Here is a 19,974-nt window from a genome sequence, read left to right as displayed (position 1 = left end):
GCCTGGGTGACAAAGTGAGACTCCATCTCAAAAAAAAAAAAAAAAACCCACACAGTCACCTCAACTGACAGAAAAAGCATTTGACAGAATTCAACATCTTTTTAAGACTGAAACAAACAAACAAAAACCTCAGCAAACTAGGAATAGAAGTAAACTTCCTTAACATGATCAAGAGCATTTGTGAGGCCAGGTGCGGTGGCTCACGCCTGTAATCCCAGCATTTTGGGAGGCCAAGAGGGGCGGATCATGAGGTCAGGAGATCAAGACCATCCTGGCTAACATGGTGAAGCCCTGTCTCTACTAAAAATACAAAAAATTAGCTGAGCGTGGTGGTGGGCACCTGTAATCCCAGCTACTTGGGAGGCTGAGGCAGGAGAATGGCGTGATGAACCCAGGAGGCGGAGCTTGCAGTGAGCAGAGATCGCGCCACTGCACTCCAGCCTGGGCGACAGAGCCAGACTCCATTTCAAAAAAAAAAAAAAAACCATTTGTGAAAAGCCCACAGCTAACATCATAGTGGTGTAAAACAAAAGCCTTCCCCCAAGATAAGAAGCAAGATAAGGATGCATGCTTTCACCACTACTATTCAACATTGTACTGGGAGTCCTACCCAGGGCAATCAAGGAATTAAAAGACATCCAAATTGGAAAGGAAGAAGTAAAACTATTTCTACTTGCAGAAGACATGATTCTATATAAAGTAAAACCCATAAGTTCTACAAAAAACTACAGCTAATAAATGAATTCATTAAAGGTGCAGGGTAAAACATCAACACATAAAATTCTGTTGTTTCTATATACAAGCAATAAACAATCTGAAAAGGAAATTAAGAAAATTCTATTTACAGTAACCTCCAAAAGAAATAATACTCAGGAATAAATTTAACCAAGGACATGAAAAACTTACACACTAAAAATTACAAAACATTGCTGAAATAAATTAAAGAAGACCTAAATAAGTGGTAAGACTTCTTGTGTACATGGATTGAAAAACAATGTTAACATGCAATACTCTCCAAAGTGATGTACAATGCAATCCCTACCAAAATTTCACGGGCTTTTCTAGAGAAATGGAAAAGCCAATCCTCAAATTTATACGGAAATGCAAGGGGCCCAGAATATTCTCTGAACAGCCAAAATAACACTGAAAAAGAAAACAAAGTAGGATTAACACTCCAAAACTTACTACAAAGGCACAGCAATCAAAACAGTGTGGTGCTAGCATAAGAAGAGATGTATTAATCAATGGAATGGAAATGAGAGTTCAGAAATAAACCCGAATATCTATGGCCAATTGATTTTTTACAAGGGTGCTAAGACTTTAAATGGAAAAAGAATAGTTCCTTCAACAAATGGTACTGGGAAAACTGGATTATCACATGCAAAAGAATGAAGTTGAACCCCTTCCTCATACCATATACAAAAATTAACTCAAAAAGGATCAACAACCTAAATATAAGAGCTAAAAGCATAAAACTCTTAGAAGCAAAAATAGGAGTACACTGTCAAGACTTCAGATTTGGCGATGGATTCTTAATAGTAAAAGCACAAGCAACAAAAGAACTCAATTAATACAACTTGGTAAAATTAAAAACTTTTGTGCACCAAAGGGCACCATCAAGAAAGTGAGGCCAAGCCCAGTGGCTCATGCCTGTAATCCCAACCCTTTGGGAGGCTGAGGCAGGCAGATGACTTGAGCCCAGGAATTTGAGACCAACCTGGGCAACGTGGTGAAATCTCATCTCCACAAAATAATACAAAACTTAGCTGGGCATGGTGGCATGCACCTGTAGTCCCAGCTACTTGGAAGGCTGAGGTGGGAAGCTAACTTGAGCCAAGGAGGTCAAGGCTGCCTGCCATGAGCCAACATCACACACCATGGCATTCCAGCCTGGGCAACAGAGTGAGACCTTGTCTCAGAAGAAAATAATAATAATAATAATAAAATAAAAAAAAAAGAAGAAAAAAGAAAAGTGAAAAGACAACCTACAGAATGGGAAAAAATATCTGTAAATCTTAGATCTGATAAGGCTTTAGTATCCAGAATATATAGAGTTTTTATAACTGAACAGCAAAAAGTCAAACAGCTGAATTAAAAAATGGACAAAGCACATGAATAGGCATTTCTCCAAAGAAGATATACAAATGACCAACATGCACATGAAAAGATGTTCAACATCACTGGTCATTAGGTAATGCAAATAAAAACCACAGAGAGATACCATTTCACACTCCCAGGATGGCTTTAATTTGAAAAAATAAACAAAAAGAGAAAACAAGTGTTAGTGTGGATACAGATAAATAAGAACCCTCATATATTACTAGTGGCAATGTAAAGTGATACAGCTGAGTTGCTGTAGAAAAGAGTTTGATGGTGCCTCAAAAATTTACATAGAGAATTACCATATGACAAGCAATTACATTTGTAGGTAGTCAGGTACTGCTTGATGATGTTTTGGTCAATGACAGACCACGTATGTGAAAATGGTCTCCTGAGATTACAATGGAACTGAAAAAATCAGAACACAAAGGACAAAGAGAAGAACCTAAAAGACTCAGAGGAGGGTAACAGGTTACACATGAAGAATCAAGAATCAGAATGGCATCAGACTTTTCAACAACAATGGAATAAAATGGAGAAAATGGAGAGCAATGCCTTCAAATTTATGAGAGAAAATGATATCTAACTTAGAATTCTACAACCAGCCAAAATTAAGTGTGAGGGGAGAATGAAGACTTTTTTTTTTTTTTTTTTTTTTTTTTTCCTGAGATGGAGTCTCACACTGTCACCAGGGCTGGAGTGCAGTAGTGCAATCTCGGCTCACTGCAACCTCTGCCTCCTGGGTTCAAGCGATTCTCCTGCCACAGTCTCCCAAGTAGCTGGGATTACAGCCACGCACCACCACACCCAGCTAATTTTTTTGTATTTTTAGTAGAGACGGGGTTTCACCATGTTGGCCAGGCTAGTCTCTAACTCCTAAGCTTGTGATTCACCTGCCTCAGCCTCCCAAAGTGCTGGGATTACAGGCGTGAGCCACTGCGCCTGGTGAAGACCTTTAAATATATAAGGTCACAAAAATTTACCTCCTATTACCATCAGTAAGCTACTGAAGGAAGTACTCCACCAAAATGAGTTGCAAAGAAACAAATGACAACACAATAACAGAAATGCAAAGAACTCAAGATGACAGAGAAGTGAGGTCTCACAATGACAGATGTACAACATGCTAGGTATCCACTAATCCAGATTAGTTTAGAAGGCTCTGAGAGAAAGGAAAGTCTCCAAGAAAATAAAATTGACAGACGAATTGATGTGTCAAAAATGCTGAGACTCAGGCACCTAAAAGATACTTTGGGACCGGGTGCGGTGGGTCATGCCTGTAATCCCAGCACTTTGGGAGGCAGAGGCGGGCGGATCATGAGGTCAGGGGATCAAGACCATCCTGGATAATATGGTGAAACCCCATCTCTATCAAAAATACAAAAAATTAGCCAGGCGTGGTGGCAGGCGCCTGTAGTCCCAGCTACTTGGGAGGCTGAGACAAGAGAATGGCGTGAACCCGGGAGGCGGAGCTTGCAGTGAGCCGAGATCGCGCCACTGCACTCCAGCCTGGGCAACAGAGCGAGACTCCGTCTCAAAAAAAAAAACAAAAAAAAAAACCTAAAACTATAAAACTTCCAAAAGAAAACCTAGCAGCCAGGCACAGTAGCTCACTCCTGTAATCCCAACACTTTGGGAGGCCAAGGAGGAAGGATCACTTGAGCCCTACAGTTTGAGACAAGCCTGGCCAATGCAGTGAAACCATATCTCTACGAAAAATTTAAAAATTGGCGGGGCATGGTGGTGCACACCTGTGGTTCCAGCTATTACAGAGGCTCAGGCAGGAGGAATAGCTTGAGCCCAGGAGGTTGATGCTGCAGCGAGCCATAATCATGCCACTGCACTCCATCCTGGGCAACACGAGCAAGACTGTGTCTCAAAAAAAAGAAAAGAAAAGAAAACCGAGGAGAAAATCTTTGTGAGCATGGGTTAGGCAAAGATTTCTTAGCTGTAACACCAAAAGTGCAATCCATGAAAGAAAAAATTGGTAAGGCAAACTTCATCAAAATGTAAAACTTCTACAAAAGATACTATTAATAGAATTAAAAAACAAATCACAGATTGAGAGAAACTCTCTGCAAAGCATATATTTGATAGACTTGTTTCACACACACACACACACACACACACCCCACACACACACACACACAGAACTCTCAAAATTCAACAATAAGAAAACAACCCAATCTAAAAAGGGGCAAAGACTTAGACACTAGACCAAAAATAATATACGGATGGCAAAAATCACATAAAACAATGGTCAACAGTATTAGTCATGAGAAGAATATAATTAAAACCACAATGAGGTATCACTACACACCCATCAGAATGATTAAAAAAAAAAGGTGTTAATACCAAATGCTGCCCAAGATGCAGAGAAACTGAGTAACTCATACACCTGCTGGTGGGAATGAAAACATTTGGCAGGTTTGGTTTTTTTTTTTGTTTGTTTTGTTTTGTTTTTGAAACAGAGCCTTGCTCTGTTGCTCAGGCTGGAGTACAGCGGCACAATCTTGGCACACTGCAACCTCCGCCTCCAGGGTTCAAGCGATTTCTCATGCCTCAGCCTTCCAAATAGCTGGGACTACAGCCATGCATCATCATGCCTGACTAATTTTTGTATTTTTAGTAGAGATGGGGTTTCACCATGTTGCCCAGGCTGGTCTTGAACCCCTGGCCTCAAGTGATCTGCCTACCTCGGCCTCCCAAAGTGCTGGGATTACAGGTGTGAGCCACCACACCCTGGCAGTTTCTTATAAAACTAAATTCACAGATTGGAGGTCAGGAGGCATTTGTACTTCTGGGTATTTATACCAGAAAAAAAAAGAAACAACACATATCCACATACAAATCTGTACACAAATGTTCATAGCAATTTTCATAATAGCCAATAACTGGAAATAACCCGAATGTCCTTCAATGGGTAAACAATTAAACTGTAGTACATCCATATGATGGAACACTACTCAGCAATAAAACAGAACAAACTATTAATATACTCGACAACTTGGAAGGATCGCCAGGCAATGAGTGAAGAAAAAGTCAACCTCAAATGGTCACATAGGGCCTGGCACGGTGGCTCACACCTGTAATCCCAGCACTTTGGGAGGCTGAGGTGGGAGGAGAGCTTGAGCCCAAGAGTTCAAGGCTGCAGTGAGGCATAATCATGCCACTGTACTCCAGCCTTGGCAACCTAGTGAGACCCTGTCCCCCTGCCCTGCCCTCCCCCAAAAAAGTCCCATAGTGTATGACTTAATTTATGTAGCTAACATTTTCTTGAAATAATACTTTGGAGATGTAGAATAGATTAGTGGTTGCCAGGAATTTGAGACTGGGTTGGGGAAGAGGGAGGGAAAAGGATGTGCTTATAAAGAAGTTAGTGAGATGAAACAGTTCTATATTTTTTATTATTATTATTATTATTATTATTTTATTTTGAGACAGAGTCTCACTCTGTCACCTGGGCTGGAGTGAAATGGCCCAATCTCAGCTCACTGCAACCCTCGCCTCCCAGGTTCAAGCGATTCGCCTGTCTCAGCCTTCCCAGTAGCTGAGATTACAGGCACCCACCACCATGCCCGGCTAATATATTTTTTTTTTTTTGAGGTGGGGTCTCGCTCTGTCGCCCAGGCTGGAATGCAGTGGCGCAATCTCCACTCAATGCAAGCTCCGCCTCCTGGGTTCACGCCATTCTCCTGCCTCAGCCTCCCGAGTAGCTGGGACTACAGGCGCCCATCACCACAGCCGGCTAATTTTTTGTATTTTTAGTAGAGACAGGGTTTCACCAGGTTGGCCAGGCTGGTCTCAAACTCCTGACCTCAGGTGATCCACCGGCCTCAGCCTCCCAAAGTGCTGGGACTACAGGCGTGAGCCACCACGCCTGGCCCAGTTCTGTATCTTGATCATGGTAGTAGTTACACTAATCTACATATGATAAAACTGCAGAGAACTACACACATAAACACACACAAATCAGTGCATGTAAAATTGTTCACATCTGAGTTAGTTCAGTGGATTCTACCAGTGTCATTTTCCTGGTCTCAATATTGTACTATAGTTATGCAAGATGTTATCGTTGGGAGAAACTGAGTAAAGGGTACCCAGAACCTCTTTACATTTTATTTACAACTTCCTGTGGATCTATTAATTATTTCAAAATAAAAAGCTTTTTTAAATGGGTAAAAAGCTTAAAAAGACACTTAACCAAAAAAGATAGCAAATAAGCACATAAAAAGATGTTCAAGAGCATTAGTTATTTGGAAAATATAAACTAAACCTACAGAAGATAACACTACACACCTGTTAGAATGGCTAAAATTAAAAAGACTATCTAAACCTGATGTTGGTTAGGATGTCAAAATATTCCACTGCTAGTGGGAATTTAAAATGATATAACCACTTTGGAAAACAGTTTGGCAGTTTCTTAAAAAGTTAAATGTGCTGGGCACAGTGGTTCACACCTGTAATCCCAACACTTTGGGACGCTGAGGCGGGTGGATCACGAGCTCAGGAGATTGTGACCATCCTGGTCAACATGGTGAAACTCTGTCTCTACTAAAAATACAAAAATTAGCCGGGCATGGTGGCGTGTGCCTGCAATCCCAGCTACTCGGGAGGCTGAGGCAGGAGAACAACTTGAACGAGGGAGTTGGGAGGTTGCAGTGAGCCGAGATATGCATCACAGCACTCCAGCCTGGCGACAGAGTGAGACTCCATCTAAAAAAAAAAAAAAAAAAATAATAATAATAATAATAATAATAATAATAGACAAAAAGTTAAATGTACATCTACCAAATTACCCAACCATTACATTCTTAGGTATTTACCCAAGAGAAAGGGAAAGATGTGTCCATACAAAGACAATACATGAATATTCATCGCTGCTTTATTTGTAACAGCCAAAACCTGGAAACAATCCAAAAGTCCATCAACAGGTGAATGGATAAAATAAATTGTACTATACATACATAATGGCAACTACTCCCCAATAAAAATTAATGACCTACTGATACACTCAATAACATGGACATATCTCAAAATAGCAATGACAAGAAGTCAGCACCCAACCCCCGCAAAAAAAGGGTACATGCTTTACAATTCCACTTATATAAATGTTCTAGTGAGTTCAGCGGTTGTCTGGAAAAGGGAGAAAGGTGTATGGGAGGGAGTGATTACAGAGGCACACAAACAAACTTCTTTTGGGGGTCGCGGATATGTTCACTATATCTGGTAAAAGTTTCATGGGTCTCTACATGTGTCAAAACTTAAACTGTACACTTTAAATATGTTGTTTATTAAATGTCAATTTTACCTCAATAAAGCTGTTGAAATAGATAAAACCCTCTTCTGCCTTGGCTTTCCCTACACCATTCTCTTGATTGTCTAATTTAACTCTGTGACAGTATCTTCTCAGACTTCTCTCCTTGCCATCCTTGCAATACTGTTGTTTCCAGAGTCCTGTTCTCAGCCTCCTTTTCACATTATAATCCACACTCTGTTGCAGTGACTTCATCCATGCCCATGACTTCAACTATCATCAATATCTATAGACCAATAACTTTCAAATCTCTTTTGTGCAAGTTTCTCTTTTGAGCTCTACACTTATATTTCCAATTGCCTAATAAATCTACAGATGCTTCAAACTAGACATACACAAAACTGAACTCCTTTTTACTATATACTCTCATTGCACTTTATACTTTGCACTTTGTATTTTCATGACACTAGTTACATTAATAATTACTAGACTGTGCACTTCATGAAGGCAAGGGCCATGTCTTGTTCACCACTATTTCCACAGACATTTTGTAATAGCACATTTTATTAAAATGAATCACCTTTCTCCCTCCCCACCTCCAAAGCTAATTCTCCTACCACAACTGACCCAAACTAGAAAAATAGAAATAATCCTGCCTCCTTCCCTTTCCTTACTCAATGGATACCAGGTCCTATTGATTTCTTTCCTGTAAATCTATCTGAGCACTATTCCCACTTTGTCGTCTTCACTGCTCTACCCTTATCATTTCTCAAATACATGTGTCCCCACCTCCATTCCTGTCTTCTTCAATCTATTACCCACAGTATAGTAGAGTGATGGAGCTACAAATCTGACATTTCTGCCCAATTTGAAATCCTTCAATGGCTCCCTGCTGTCTTCAAACTAAAATCCAAACTCCTCAATACAGTATAATAGTCTGTCCCTCTCCAGCCACATCTGGACACAACAGAATCCTGATCTTCCACTTTCCAAATTAAAGGACCATGCTCTTTAACCTGTCTTTGGGTGTGATAATCGGCTGGCCTGAAATGTTATGTCCTCCCTTAGCCACCTGGTGAACTCATCCCACTGGATTCTGCTCAACTGTACTCTTCTCTGACCTCTCTACTCAGAGTTAATCTGTGTCATTATATGCTCAGAGGCCCTTCTCCGTACCTCTGTTATATTAATATTGTTGTAGTCATTTATATGTCTACTCCAATAGACTGAATTATATTTAATTTGTATTACCAGTATTTGGCACATAATAATACTGACACTTAACAAAACTTAATTAAAAGATTAAATGATTTAGTATATTTACCCACTTAATGGAAGAGGACTTTCTTGAGGTCCCTTCCAGCTCAGTTACTCTAAGATCTCATACAATGTTCCCCTCTGGTTACTACTTTCTCTTCTTCTACATATTCTTCTATTTTATCCTTTAACAACAGCTAGTTTCTTTCAGATGAGCCTTCGAAAGAATGAAACAAAGCACTTTAAAAAGAATTTTTAGCGTGGGCATGGTGGCTCACACCTGTAATCCCAGTACATTGGGAGGCCAAGGTGGGAGGACTGCTCAGGCCCAGGAGTTTGAGACTGGCCTGGGCAACACAGAAAGACTCCGTCTCTATCAAAAACAATTTTTAAAAATTAGCTGGGCATGGTGGCAAGCACCTGTGGTTTGAGCTACTTGGGAGGCTGAGTTAAGACTGCAGTGATCTATGATTGAGCCACTGAACTCCAGCCTGGGCAACAAAGTGAGACCCTGTCTCAAAATAAATTTTAAGAAATAAAATAAAATAAGCATTTAAAAAACACTTTACTATCTCAATTTTGACAAATCAGATTTGACACTGTCTTTATGCTTCTGTATGTCTGCATAATCATCAGGTTCCACCTGAACCACACAACAAAAATGAATTTTGTGTCCCAGATCTCCCACCCATCAAGACACCAACCCCACTGTTATTAATCCAGGATCAATAGCCATACTTCTCTTTCTTGGCACCTCTATCAACTCCCATGCCCATCCCCAAGGACTCTGACAAAGCAAAAGAAAAAGCAAGTGCCAGAGAAAGTAACTGCATAACAAAAGTCAGGTTTACATTATAAAGTCCCTCAACTGGCTGGGCACAGGGGCTCATGCCTATAATCCCAGCACTTTGGGAGGCCGAGGCAGGCGGATCACCTGAGGTAGGGAGTTCAAGACCAGCGTGTCCAACATGGTGAAACCCTGTCTCTACTAAGAATACAAAAATTAGCCAGGCACGGTGACACACATCTGTAATCCCAGCTACTTGGGAGGCATGAGGCAGGAAAATCACTTGAACCTGGGAGGTGGAAGTTGCAGTGAGCAGAGATTGTGCCACTGTGCTCCAGCCTAGGTGACAGAGTGAGACTCTGTCTCAAAAAAAAAAAAAAAAAAAAAAATTAGCTGGGCATGTGGTGCACACCTGTAATCCCAGCTACTTCAGCTACTTGAGAGGCTGAGGCATCACAATCACCTGAACCCAGGAGGCAGAGGTTGCACTCCAGCCTGGGAAATAGAGTGAGATTCTCTCTCAAAAAAAAAAAATTTTTTTTAAGTCCCTCAGTTGCTAGAATACTGTGGATAGTAAGCACAGACAATTCTTTTGGTTGACCCCCTCCCAGCATCCATTTTCTCTTTCTTCCTCCCTAACAGATTTTCTATCCTTCTATCCACTCCTCTCCCATGCAGCCTTGTGTTTTGGGGAAGCCAACCATATCCTCAGGCCAAGGCATAGGTCTGGTTGGCTAAGAATAATTCCACTCATCTTTACCAGTAACTAATTTAGGAAAGGGAATGTAACCCAGTTTTGGTCAATGAAACGCAAGGTTAAGTTTGCTGAAGGCTTCTGGAAAAGTCCTTCGTCACTCTTAAAAAGAAAAGAGCTGTGTGAAGCCAGCATCCGTGTCTCATTCCTTCCCCTCAGCAAATATCAATCCAAATGTAACTATTTTGCATATATTTAAACTAGAAGATTAAGAGTATTTTACTATTTATTTCAAATAGTAATCGGATGATTAAAAAGTCAACAGAAGTGCTAAAACCATGATCAGCCAACATTTACTAGGTAACATGTATGACAAAAGAGCTTTCTTGCCTTTGCTCTCAAAGGGAGAGTTCTGGTGAAACTCAGAGACAACTGGGTATGTACAAGAGAGAGAGAAAATCCAAAAGAGTACTGATCTTGAGAGAGAAGAATAAATGGCAGATGGCAAATTGGTCAAAATATCAAGGAAAAAAATGTGTATCAGTCCTAGTGGCTATAGAAGGTAGTTCTCCTTGCATCCTAAATTCAATCAAATAAATAGTACTCATTTTTTTTTTTTTGAACATGTGAAAGCAAAATGTTAACCTTGAAAAATGAAACTACCCTGACTATTGAGCATTTTTAAAATTCTGAATTTTTCCTCATTCAGGTTTAGGGCAATTTTGACGACAGATCTAAACGCTTTAAACTTTAAAAGCAAAACAGCCTGCAAGATGACAAATCAGACCCTAATCAAGACAACATGGGCGGAGAGGGGGGCTGCCAAAGACAAAGGCCAATTTCTCCTTAGAGTAAACTGCCTTAAAACCTAAAATGATATCACCTCTTGACCTCCAGATCCACAAAGCAGCAAAGAGAAAAGGCCCAAAAGAGCTAAATTTGGGTCTAGCACAGTTAGCGATATAGCGATACAGTACCCTCTATTGGTCTAACTGTATCACTGCTACCCTTTAAAATTTCCTAGAGCAGGCAGGAATAAGAAGCATCCCTCAAGTAGCTATTTTGAGCCCAAAGCAGAAAATCTAGTCACAGGAACACATGTAATTTGTAAGACATGACTCATATATGTTTGATTCCATATGCCCAACATGACCCTTGCTTTCACCATAGGAAAAACTGAGTCTTTCTGTACTTAAACTCTTTCTGAGAATAGCAAGGCAAGAGGCAGGCATAGCAGAAAGGGCCCAAAATTTGAGGTCAGAAAACCAAAGTTCAAATACCAGCTAATTCCACTTTCTAGATGGTCAAATCCATCTGCATTTCTGTTTCCTTATGCGCTAAATAGAAATAATACCTCTCTCTAGGTTATCATGAGATAATGCACATAAAAATACCTTGCACATAATAGGTACTCAATAACACTGGATTAAATATTTATCTAATGTATCACAAACAAAAAGTTACAAAATGATCAAAATTATAGGTTGCGCAAAAAGAACTGTAGGATTTTTGTTGTTGTTGTTCTTGTTTTTAATCCACAAGAAGGAAATGTAGGATTTTCAAGCAAAAATTAAGCAACTTACTGGAGAAGACCAAAGGACTAGGAGTCAGAAGTCCTGGGTCTCTGTTTTGATATTAACCAGTTAAATGACCTTGGGCAGGTCAATTTGAGTCTCAATTTCCTCTCCTGTAAAATGGAAGGACTGAATTAGCTTGAAACTCTATGCTTTTTAGCAGTATCACACAATTAGCAACAGAAATGAATCTAGAATCCAGACCTCCTAGCTCAGTACTACATCAAAATTATCTGTTAAGTTGTCTCACAAAAGAAAAAGTCTTTGGTGAACACGTTGACAGCAGATCAGGAAAATGGATGGAAGGAAAGGTTTCACACTGGGACTGAAAAGAGATGAATAAAGGTGATGAGCTTGATATCTGAAGTAACAGATATAAAATGGTGGAGCACAATGAAAAACTGTGAGGAAAGGCAGGTTACAGACAAAAAGGAGTGGGAATTGAAGATAACCTCAACTATGACTTTCAGAACTGAATTAGGAGAAAATACGAAGAGAAAACTATTAATACACAAATCCAAATGGAAGGAGACCAAGACTTTGGCCACAGGGCAGAGAGAAGGGGGGAAACAAAAGTCATTTTCAGGAAGTGGCAAAATTTACCAGCCAACTAACCCAATAAAAGGATAGCAATAAGCTAAGTCAATTTTTGAAGTTTAACATATTAAAGAACTACAGACGTGGGAAATATGGTTTGAATAATAAGAACAACTCGATGCACTAACAGTTTGTTTTTGTTTTTAAGAAACAGGGTATCCTTATGTTATCCAGACTGGTCTAGAATCCCTAGGCTCAAGAGATACTTCCAAGTAGCTGGGACTACAGGCACAGGGCACTGCACCCAGCTTCGATGTACTAATTTTGTATTTTTAGTAGAGGCGGGGTTTCTCCATGTTGGTCAGGCTGGTCTCGAACTCCTGACCTCGTGATCCGCCTGCCTCAGCAACCCAAAGTGCTGGGATTACAGGCGTAAGCCACCGTGCCCAGCCTTTTATTTATTTATTTTTTTTTTTTTTGAGAGAGAGTTTTACTCTGTCCCCCAGGCTGGAGTGCAATGGTACCATCTGAGCTCACTGCAACCTCCACCTCCCAAGTTCAAGCAATTCTGCCTCAGCCTCCCAAGTAGCCGGGATTACAGCGCCCGCCACCACATCCAGCTAATTTTTTGTATTTTTAGTAAAGACAGGGTTTCATCATGTTGGCCAGGCTAGTCTCGAACTCCTGACCTCAGGTGATCCACCCGCCTCAGCCTCCCAAAGTGCTGGGATTACACAGGTGAGAGCCACCGCGCCCAGCCTCACACATGAATATTAACTAATATTAACTAGAACTGTCCCAAAGATTAAATTTCAGCTGTTGGTAAACTAGCAATTCATAGGCTGTTACTTAAATCTTAGAGCCCCAATTGCCAACAGGTGAAAGTCATACAATATAATTACGTAAACATTACTAGACATGCCAAAATATATGCAGACCCACATTATGTTTGAGTTTAAATGATGGCTCTTAAAAAAGCTTGCTCTTGCTTGTGACTCTCCCAAGCCTCCCTGAACAAACTCACTCCTCTTAAATTCCACTGTTACTTGAACCTCATATGGCATGCCTGGGCAAATTTGATGACTTGGATATTGTTTTAGAAGCCAGGCCTACTGCCAAGTCTGCTGTGTCTACTCCCCTGACCCACCAGGACAGCTTTACACAACACCTTCCTTATTTATGTTACTGCTGTGAGCAAACTACTGCTTACTATCAAATGAGGCTCAACCTACTCAGGTTTCCTATCTTTTAAGAGCAATGTGACTGCCTTCACTATATTATGGCTTCTTCAACCTCACCTCTTATTTAAAACAAAACATTACCATACTGAATTATCTACTACTCAACTAGCAATAATGAGAGGGAAATCAGTGATACAACTCATTAACTTCTCTTAAAAGGTCCCCATTTTATATATCACTATTTATGACTTTCTCTGAAGAAAAAGTAATACTACATTTTCTCACCAAAAATGTCCTTACAATTCCATTTCATTTAAAAAATAAATATAGAGCAAACTTCAAAAGCAGAATTTGGACTATGCCTTCAATAAAAACAAATACAACTTTAGGCAAAGTTTACTGGTTGCCAAAGAAAGGCAAGTCATTATTATAAGTTGATTCTACAGCTTACTTTAAATTATTATCTTGAACGCTTAAGATACAGGCCTTACTTAACCCCCACAACTTCTTGGCTATGTATATAATACCCAAGTTTTAACTTTTATAACACCTAATAAAACTACTACAGTATTACTTCTACTAATAGTTAAGAATATATGCCAAAGTATCCTTTCTGGATTGGCAAATAGGAACACCTAAGAAAGTACAGGAATAGCTCTTGCAATGATGAATGTTTTTAACAAAAACATGACATTGAAATTTTTCCTCGATTTTTCCCCATACTTGCTGAAACACATTTTTTCACTAATCTAAACCACAAAATTCTGCCAGTTACCCCCAGAAGCATCCTTCAACATCAGGAAATGTGTCAAAGAAACAGAGTTGTATTCTTCCAAATGAAATGTTAAAATATTTATTATCGACTCAGTCGTCTAATACATATTCTCACTACATTCAACTCTACAGAAAACGTTGGCCTAAGGTAAGAAAATAAAGCTACTAAGCATCCAAAACCTCCTTTACAGTTCCTAATGGGCTGTACAAACACACCATTAAATTTCTACAAGAAACCAACCAACTTCCTCCTTTTCATACTGATTTAAATATCCAATTATATACTTAAATGTTTGGCAGATCAACCAACTTTCACATTGTACTAAGAACTTAATTCAAGAAAGTGGAAAAATATAATTAAAAGTGTATTACTTTCAGTATTTGATAAAATATAAGAGGTAAGTAACATTTAAAAGACTAGAATTAAACAGATAAAAATGTCTTAAGACCAAATATTCTAACTCATGTAAGGTTTAAATTGCTGAATCTCTCATCTGCCCTAATCTCTTTTTTTCTTCTTTTTAAAATGCTACTGTTTGTAAATGCCCTACTATCTCTCAATGTTTTAATTTAGCATGTGGAGAAGGGTCTAGCAAAGAGAAGGAAGTAAAAACTAGCCTATTCGTGTGTGTGTGCGTGTGTGTGTGTGTGTGTTTTTAAAGAAATGTTGGGGGGGGGGGGTTGCGTGTTTAAAAAAATTTTAGTTACCACCACTTAAATAGGACCAGGACTGTGCTAAGTGCTTTAAATACATTATCTCATTTACACAAGATAAAACAAAAACCTTGACTAAAAATGATCAATAAAAACTGAAAAGTGAGAAAATAAAATTATCTAAGAGACAGTAAATTGGATCACATCTCCAAGCACTAAACAAAGTAAAAACATTGTAGATTAAATTCTAAGACAATTTCTAGGAATAGTTCCTCAACTTGACATATGAAAAAGTTGTGTATTAAAGGATTATCTGAAAAAAATTACACATATCTTATCATCGAGTAAACTTCTTACAAAAATACATATTGTATCTAAGATATTTCTCCCCTTTGAAAAAACAGTAGTAGATAAGATACTACACATAGTATATAGCACATTCCTTCCAGTAACTCTCATTCAGGACTAGAAAGTCAATATTTAGTAATGAACCCTGAGAATGAAACTCTGAATTTGCAAAGTACAGATTATTATAACATCAAACTTAGAGATACACAATCACTACACTAAAATAGAGTACCACAGGCTGCCCTTTATAATGGCAAACAATGTTAATGGAATACATTAAACATGTACCTATTTTAAATTTCCTATTTACTACTGAGGTATATCATCTATTTAGAGCTAGATATTAAGTAAAAGAATGTTAAAAAAAAGTTTAGTTCATTTTTAACTGCAGAAATCAGAGATAGCACTGTCATATTTAAAAAAACAAGGTAGGCTGGTCTGACGGTAGAGAGTTATTATAATGTATTAACATTAGCGTCACTAAAGTTGGTATACAACCCCCCACTACTAAATGTGACTGTCTAAAAAAATAAATAAATAAGAAAGCTGACGACTCTAGGGTCTTAAATTTTCTTTAATGGAAAAAAATCTCAAAATATCTCGCAAACAGTAGTCTTAAAAAGTCAGTCGTCAGTCACAAATGTATACAACATACAACATTATTAAGCGTTATCAAGTCCATCTCACATCATCTAATTAGCACTTTAACAAGCTTGCTTAGGACATTCACTAAATTCAGCCCTTGGCTTGTCCTCACTCTCTATCCACTTACCTCACTATTTTTCAAAAATCTTCTCACTGTATGGAAATTTAGTTGTGATACAAGTACTCCCAAACCTTCAGAGATGTAAAACCACTGCAGCCCCAAATTACCAAGATCTAATTTATGGAACTCATCAATAAAAGCCAAAGAACTGAAACAATTCTCGTCAATTTCCTCTACCACGAAAGAGCAGTGAGCAATGATTCAAAACTTAGGTGTTATTTATTCACTTATTTAACAAAATATAGGGGCTATGTGCAGTGGCTCACACCTGTAATCCCAGCATTTTGGGAAGCCAGAACAGGAGAGCCCAGGAGTTCCAGACTAGCCTGGGCAACATAGTGAGACTTCCATCTCTATTTAAAAATATATATATTGGGCAGGGTGCAGTGGCCCATGCCTGTAATCCCACCACTTTGGGAGGCTGAGGCAGGAGGATCCCTTGAGGTCAGGAGTTCCAGACCAGCCTGGCCAACATGGTGAAACTCTGTCTCTACTAAAAACACAAAACGTAGCCAGCTGTGGCAGCACACCACTGTAATCCCAACTACTCAGGAGGCAGAGGCGGGACAATCGCTTGAACCCCAGAGGTCGAGGCTGCAGTAAGCTGAAATCACGCCACTGCATCCCAGCCTGGGCGACAGGGCGAGACCCTGCCTCAAAAAAGAAAAAATATATATAAAATATATAATAAACATTATATATAATATATAAAATATATATTATATACACTACATATATTATATATAATTATATGCATTTTATATATTATATAGTATATGAGTATATAATGTATATAATACATTATATATTATATATGAAATATACATTATATATGTAAATATATATGTATTTTATATATAATATATGTTATATATTATATATATAGTGCCTACTATGTAAAGGCACTGTGCTAGCTAGGCACTGATAATATAACTGAAAAAGATACAGACACTATCCCCGACCTCAAGGAACTTCCATTCCAGTGAGGAAGAGAATCCAAAAATAAGTTCGGCAAACACACTGATATAACCCAGCAAGGATCTGAATTCTACTAACCATTTTATTCTTATTTTCCACTTTACTGCATATATTATCCTAAAATCATTTCAGTGAATCCACTTTGTTCCTTCAAACTACATACTCATAATTATGCTTAGTAAAATGAAAACTTATTTTGTGAACAAGTAATTCTGAAAACTTAGCTGTGAATATATAACACATCCTCAACAGAATTTCAAAATTAATTGCTATGTGTTCATAGCAGCACTATTCACAATAGCCAAAAGGCAGAAAAAGCCCAAATGTCCATCAATTGGTGAACAAATTGTGTTCCTTTATACACACACACGATGGAATATTATTCAGCCATAGAAAGGAATGAGGTAGTCCGACACAAAAGGTCACATATTATATTATCCTATTTATATAAAATATCTAGAAGAGGTACCATAGAGACAGATCCCAGACTGGTGGCTACTAGGGGTTGGGAGGAGGGAAGGAAAAATATGGGGCAACTGTTTAATGGGTACTGAGTTTTCTTTTGGATGAAGAAAATGTTTTAGAAGTAGACAGAAGCAGTAGCTGCACAACACTGAATGCACTCAATTGTTCACTTTAAGAAGGTTTGTTTTTTCATATGTATTTTGCCTTAATATTAAAAAAACTTTAAAAAAAATTACCTGCTTAAAATATTTTAAAGTGGACTTTATGTGACAAATAAAACTGCTGATGTTTACCTTTTGAAATTTCAGTTATAAATCAAGTTACAGATAACTCCTTTTAGACCTATTTTAATATCAAAATGGCTTTTGCGTATGGTAAAGATCATTAAAAATTTTTTCATAGCTTTGAAATGTTATTCAGTATTTTGGTTGTATATACAATTCCTACTTATGTAGTCACACAATTCCTTTATTATTCATATGTTTGGTTAACACCCTTATCGATCATATATTTGTATATATGCTCTAATCAAGTTTGTGCCCAATAAAATCTGCTGACATCATCAACTGTTTATCTCTTTTACAATAAAAATACTCAAACAAGCTGTTTTTCTTTCAAGTCCCGATAATCTAGATACAATTCAATGCTACACTCTCCACAAATGCCACTTTTCCTGTTTCTTCCTCTACTATAAAATGCATCACCATTCACAGACTTCCTAGTAGTACAGTTATTACTTGGACTATGTGTCTCCTCCAACTATTTCCCAAACTCCTTGAAAAGCCTCAGTCCTCTGCCTCATCATAACACTACAGGGTCCGTAAGAGTGGTTCGACGTAATAGGTGCTCAAATTATGTTAATGGAATTGAAAATAAACGCAGCCAACACATAACTATTATAAATTATGTACTACAGTGAAAAAGACATCTAGCATATGAAGACTAAAAGGACCGATAAAATAAGTACCGCCTAGAGAATCCTCATGCCTCACGTTCAGGTATGTTTTTTCAATGCAACTCTACAGAACAGTCTACTGAACATCAAACATGAACATTAAGAAATTCACCTCATACCAGGCAAGAAAAAATAGGGATTACTCTTATCCATTTCCTTTTTGAAGTTCGTATGCATATGTAACAGGGAAACTGAACTTAATGAACCACAGTATTCCAAACCAGGTCACAAAAGAGCTCTAAGTCCCCAGTCATCCTGTTTCTATTTCCTGATTGGTCTGACCTGCAAGCATGATGGTGCCCAGCTTTCCCAATTCAAGATTTCCTTTAAAATATCTTCCAAGGAGAGATTTTTCTTTAAATAAAAATCGACTTCTAGAACTTTCTAGGAAAATTATGAAAAAAGCAACCCACTATTAAAAAAAAAATCTTCCGGAACACTTTATTCAAGTAAGGAAATCCAGTTTCCAGAAAAGTCCCGTTACAGTTACACTTCGAATTAATTGTGGGTCATAAACTTGCACGAGTGGACGTTAACTCGAAAGCATTACTCTTCTAGCAAAGTAGACTTAAAAAAACACGTGCCTGATTTTTAGAGGGGTCCTACCGTTGAAAAATAAGCATCTTTCAAACTAAAATTTCAAGAAACGACCTAGAATAGATGAAAAACCCAGTGCGCTAACAATTCACAGGGACAACATTTTCCTTGCAACACACTGGCAAAGCAACGACAACCAGACGCCACTTGGGCAGCAGCCCGGACCCTGGGCCTCCAAACCCCGATCGTCCCGGAGTCGAGTTCCCCACTAGTTTGCTTCCAGCCAAGCCCGCCACCACTTCCACGTCGCAGCGACCCACACGCCTCCTCAGCGATTTAAATCCGTTTTTAACTCACCACACACACGCGCGCGCACACACACACACAGGGTTATCGGTCTCCGGTCATCCAAGGGAACAGGGAGGGAGCGAGAGATCCTGCGAGCGAGAAGCGGGGTCGCTCCACGGTCCCGCCTGGCCCGGCACCCACCTGCAGGCCGCGAGCCCGGGGGCGGCGGCGCCGGCGCCCCGTCCTCGCCAAAGACGAGTTTGAAGTCGAGCTCGTCGTGGGCGCCACAGTTTGCAGTAGTCATCGGCGTGGCCCAGGGTGCTGCAGCTCCTCCTCAGGCGGCGGCGGCGGCAGCGGCAAGCGGCGGCAGCAGCTCCTCAACGCCGCTTCATGCCGGGCCGCGCGGGCCAAGAGGTCGCGACTCCACGGCAAACTTTCCGGGCGGGGCCCGCGACGCCGAGCGTTCCGTTCCGAAAGCTGGCCGCGCGCCGAGCAGCACCAGGAACCGCAGCCGCCCGCCACCGGTGCCTAAGCCTCCACTGTCGGCTTAGCCAATGTTCCCCGCCGCCCCCCCACAGTCGCCGCCACCGCCGCCGCGGGTGCGCTCTCGCGCCCTGCCGCGCGCCCGGCCCCGCCCCCTACGCGCGCCCACCCTGCCTGGCTGCCGATTGGCCACTAACACGGCGAACAGGCGCCGGGCCCCGCCCCCTCACAGGCCTATCGCGTAACTCGGTCTCCGCGAGAAGGAAGGAAGTCACGTGAACACGCAGGCGCCCCCCCCCCCCCCCCCGCAGAGCCCAGCTACCTCTCGGGAATTGTAGT

At 39.9% G+C, this 19,974-nt stretch overlaps 1 protein-coding gene across 3 annotated transcripts in view, besides 4 other annotated features; it reads right to left on the bottom strand.

Annotated features, from left to right (window-relative positions):
* The window catches only part of NFATC3 (nuclear factor of activated T cells 3), a 143,890-nt gene extending 124,122 nt beyond the window's left edge, over positions 1-19,768 (bottom strand). For all 3 annotated transcript variants that reach the window (NM_004555.4, NM_173163.3, NM_173165.3), the window contains exon 1: positions 19,354-19,768. In NM_004555.4, the coding sequence (NP_004546.1) occupies positions 19,354-19,456 (103 nt within the window). In that variant the 5' untranslated portion in view covers positions 19,457-19,768. The remainder of the gene's footprint in view (positions 1-19,353) is intronic.
* Positions 11,058-11,352: a silencer, noted in NCBI's record as "tiled region #7518; HepG2 Repressive non-DNase unmatched - State 25:Art, and K562 Repressive non-DNase unmatched - State 5:Enh". NCBI's record gives its function as "represses a minimal TATA promoter and a strong SV40 promoter by Sharpr-MPRA in HepG2 and K562 cells {active_cell/tissue: HepG2 | K562}" and the evidence as "EXISTENCE:reporter gene assay evidence [ECO:0000049][PMID:27701403]".
* Positions 19,102-19,161: an enhancer, noted in NCBI's record as "active region_11006". NCBI's record gives its function as "activates an Ori minimal core promoter by ATAC-STARR-seq in GM12878 lymphoblastoid cells {active_cell/tissue: GM12878}" and the evidence as "EXISTENCE:reporter gene assay evidence [ECO:0000049][PMID:35858748]".
* Positions 19,212-19,481: a silencer, noted in NCBI's record as "silent region_7639". NCBI's record gives its function as "represses an Ori minimal core promoter by ATAC-STARR-seq in GM12878 lymphoblastoid cells {active_cell/tissue: GM12878}" and the evidence as "EXISTENCE:reporter gene assay evidence [ECO:0000049][PMID:35858748]".
* Positions 19,642-19,931: a silencer, noted in NCBI's record as "silent region_7638". NCBI's record gives its function as "represses an Ori minimal core promoter by ATAC-STARR-seq in GM12878 lymphoblastoid cells {active_cell/tissue: GM12878}" and the evidence as "EXISTENCE:reporter gene assay evidence [ECO:0000049][PMID:35858748]".

Source organism: Homo sapiens, chromosome 16, assembly GCF_000001405.40.
Source record: "Homo sapiens chromosome 16, GRCh38.p14 Primary Assembly".
Lineage (NCBI taxonomy): Eukaryota > Metazoa > Chordata > Mammalia > Primates > Hominidae > Homo > Homo sapiens.
The sequence above is the reverse complement of the archived record's forward strand: the minus strand, read 5'-3'. Positions and strand labels throughout refer to the sequence as shown.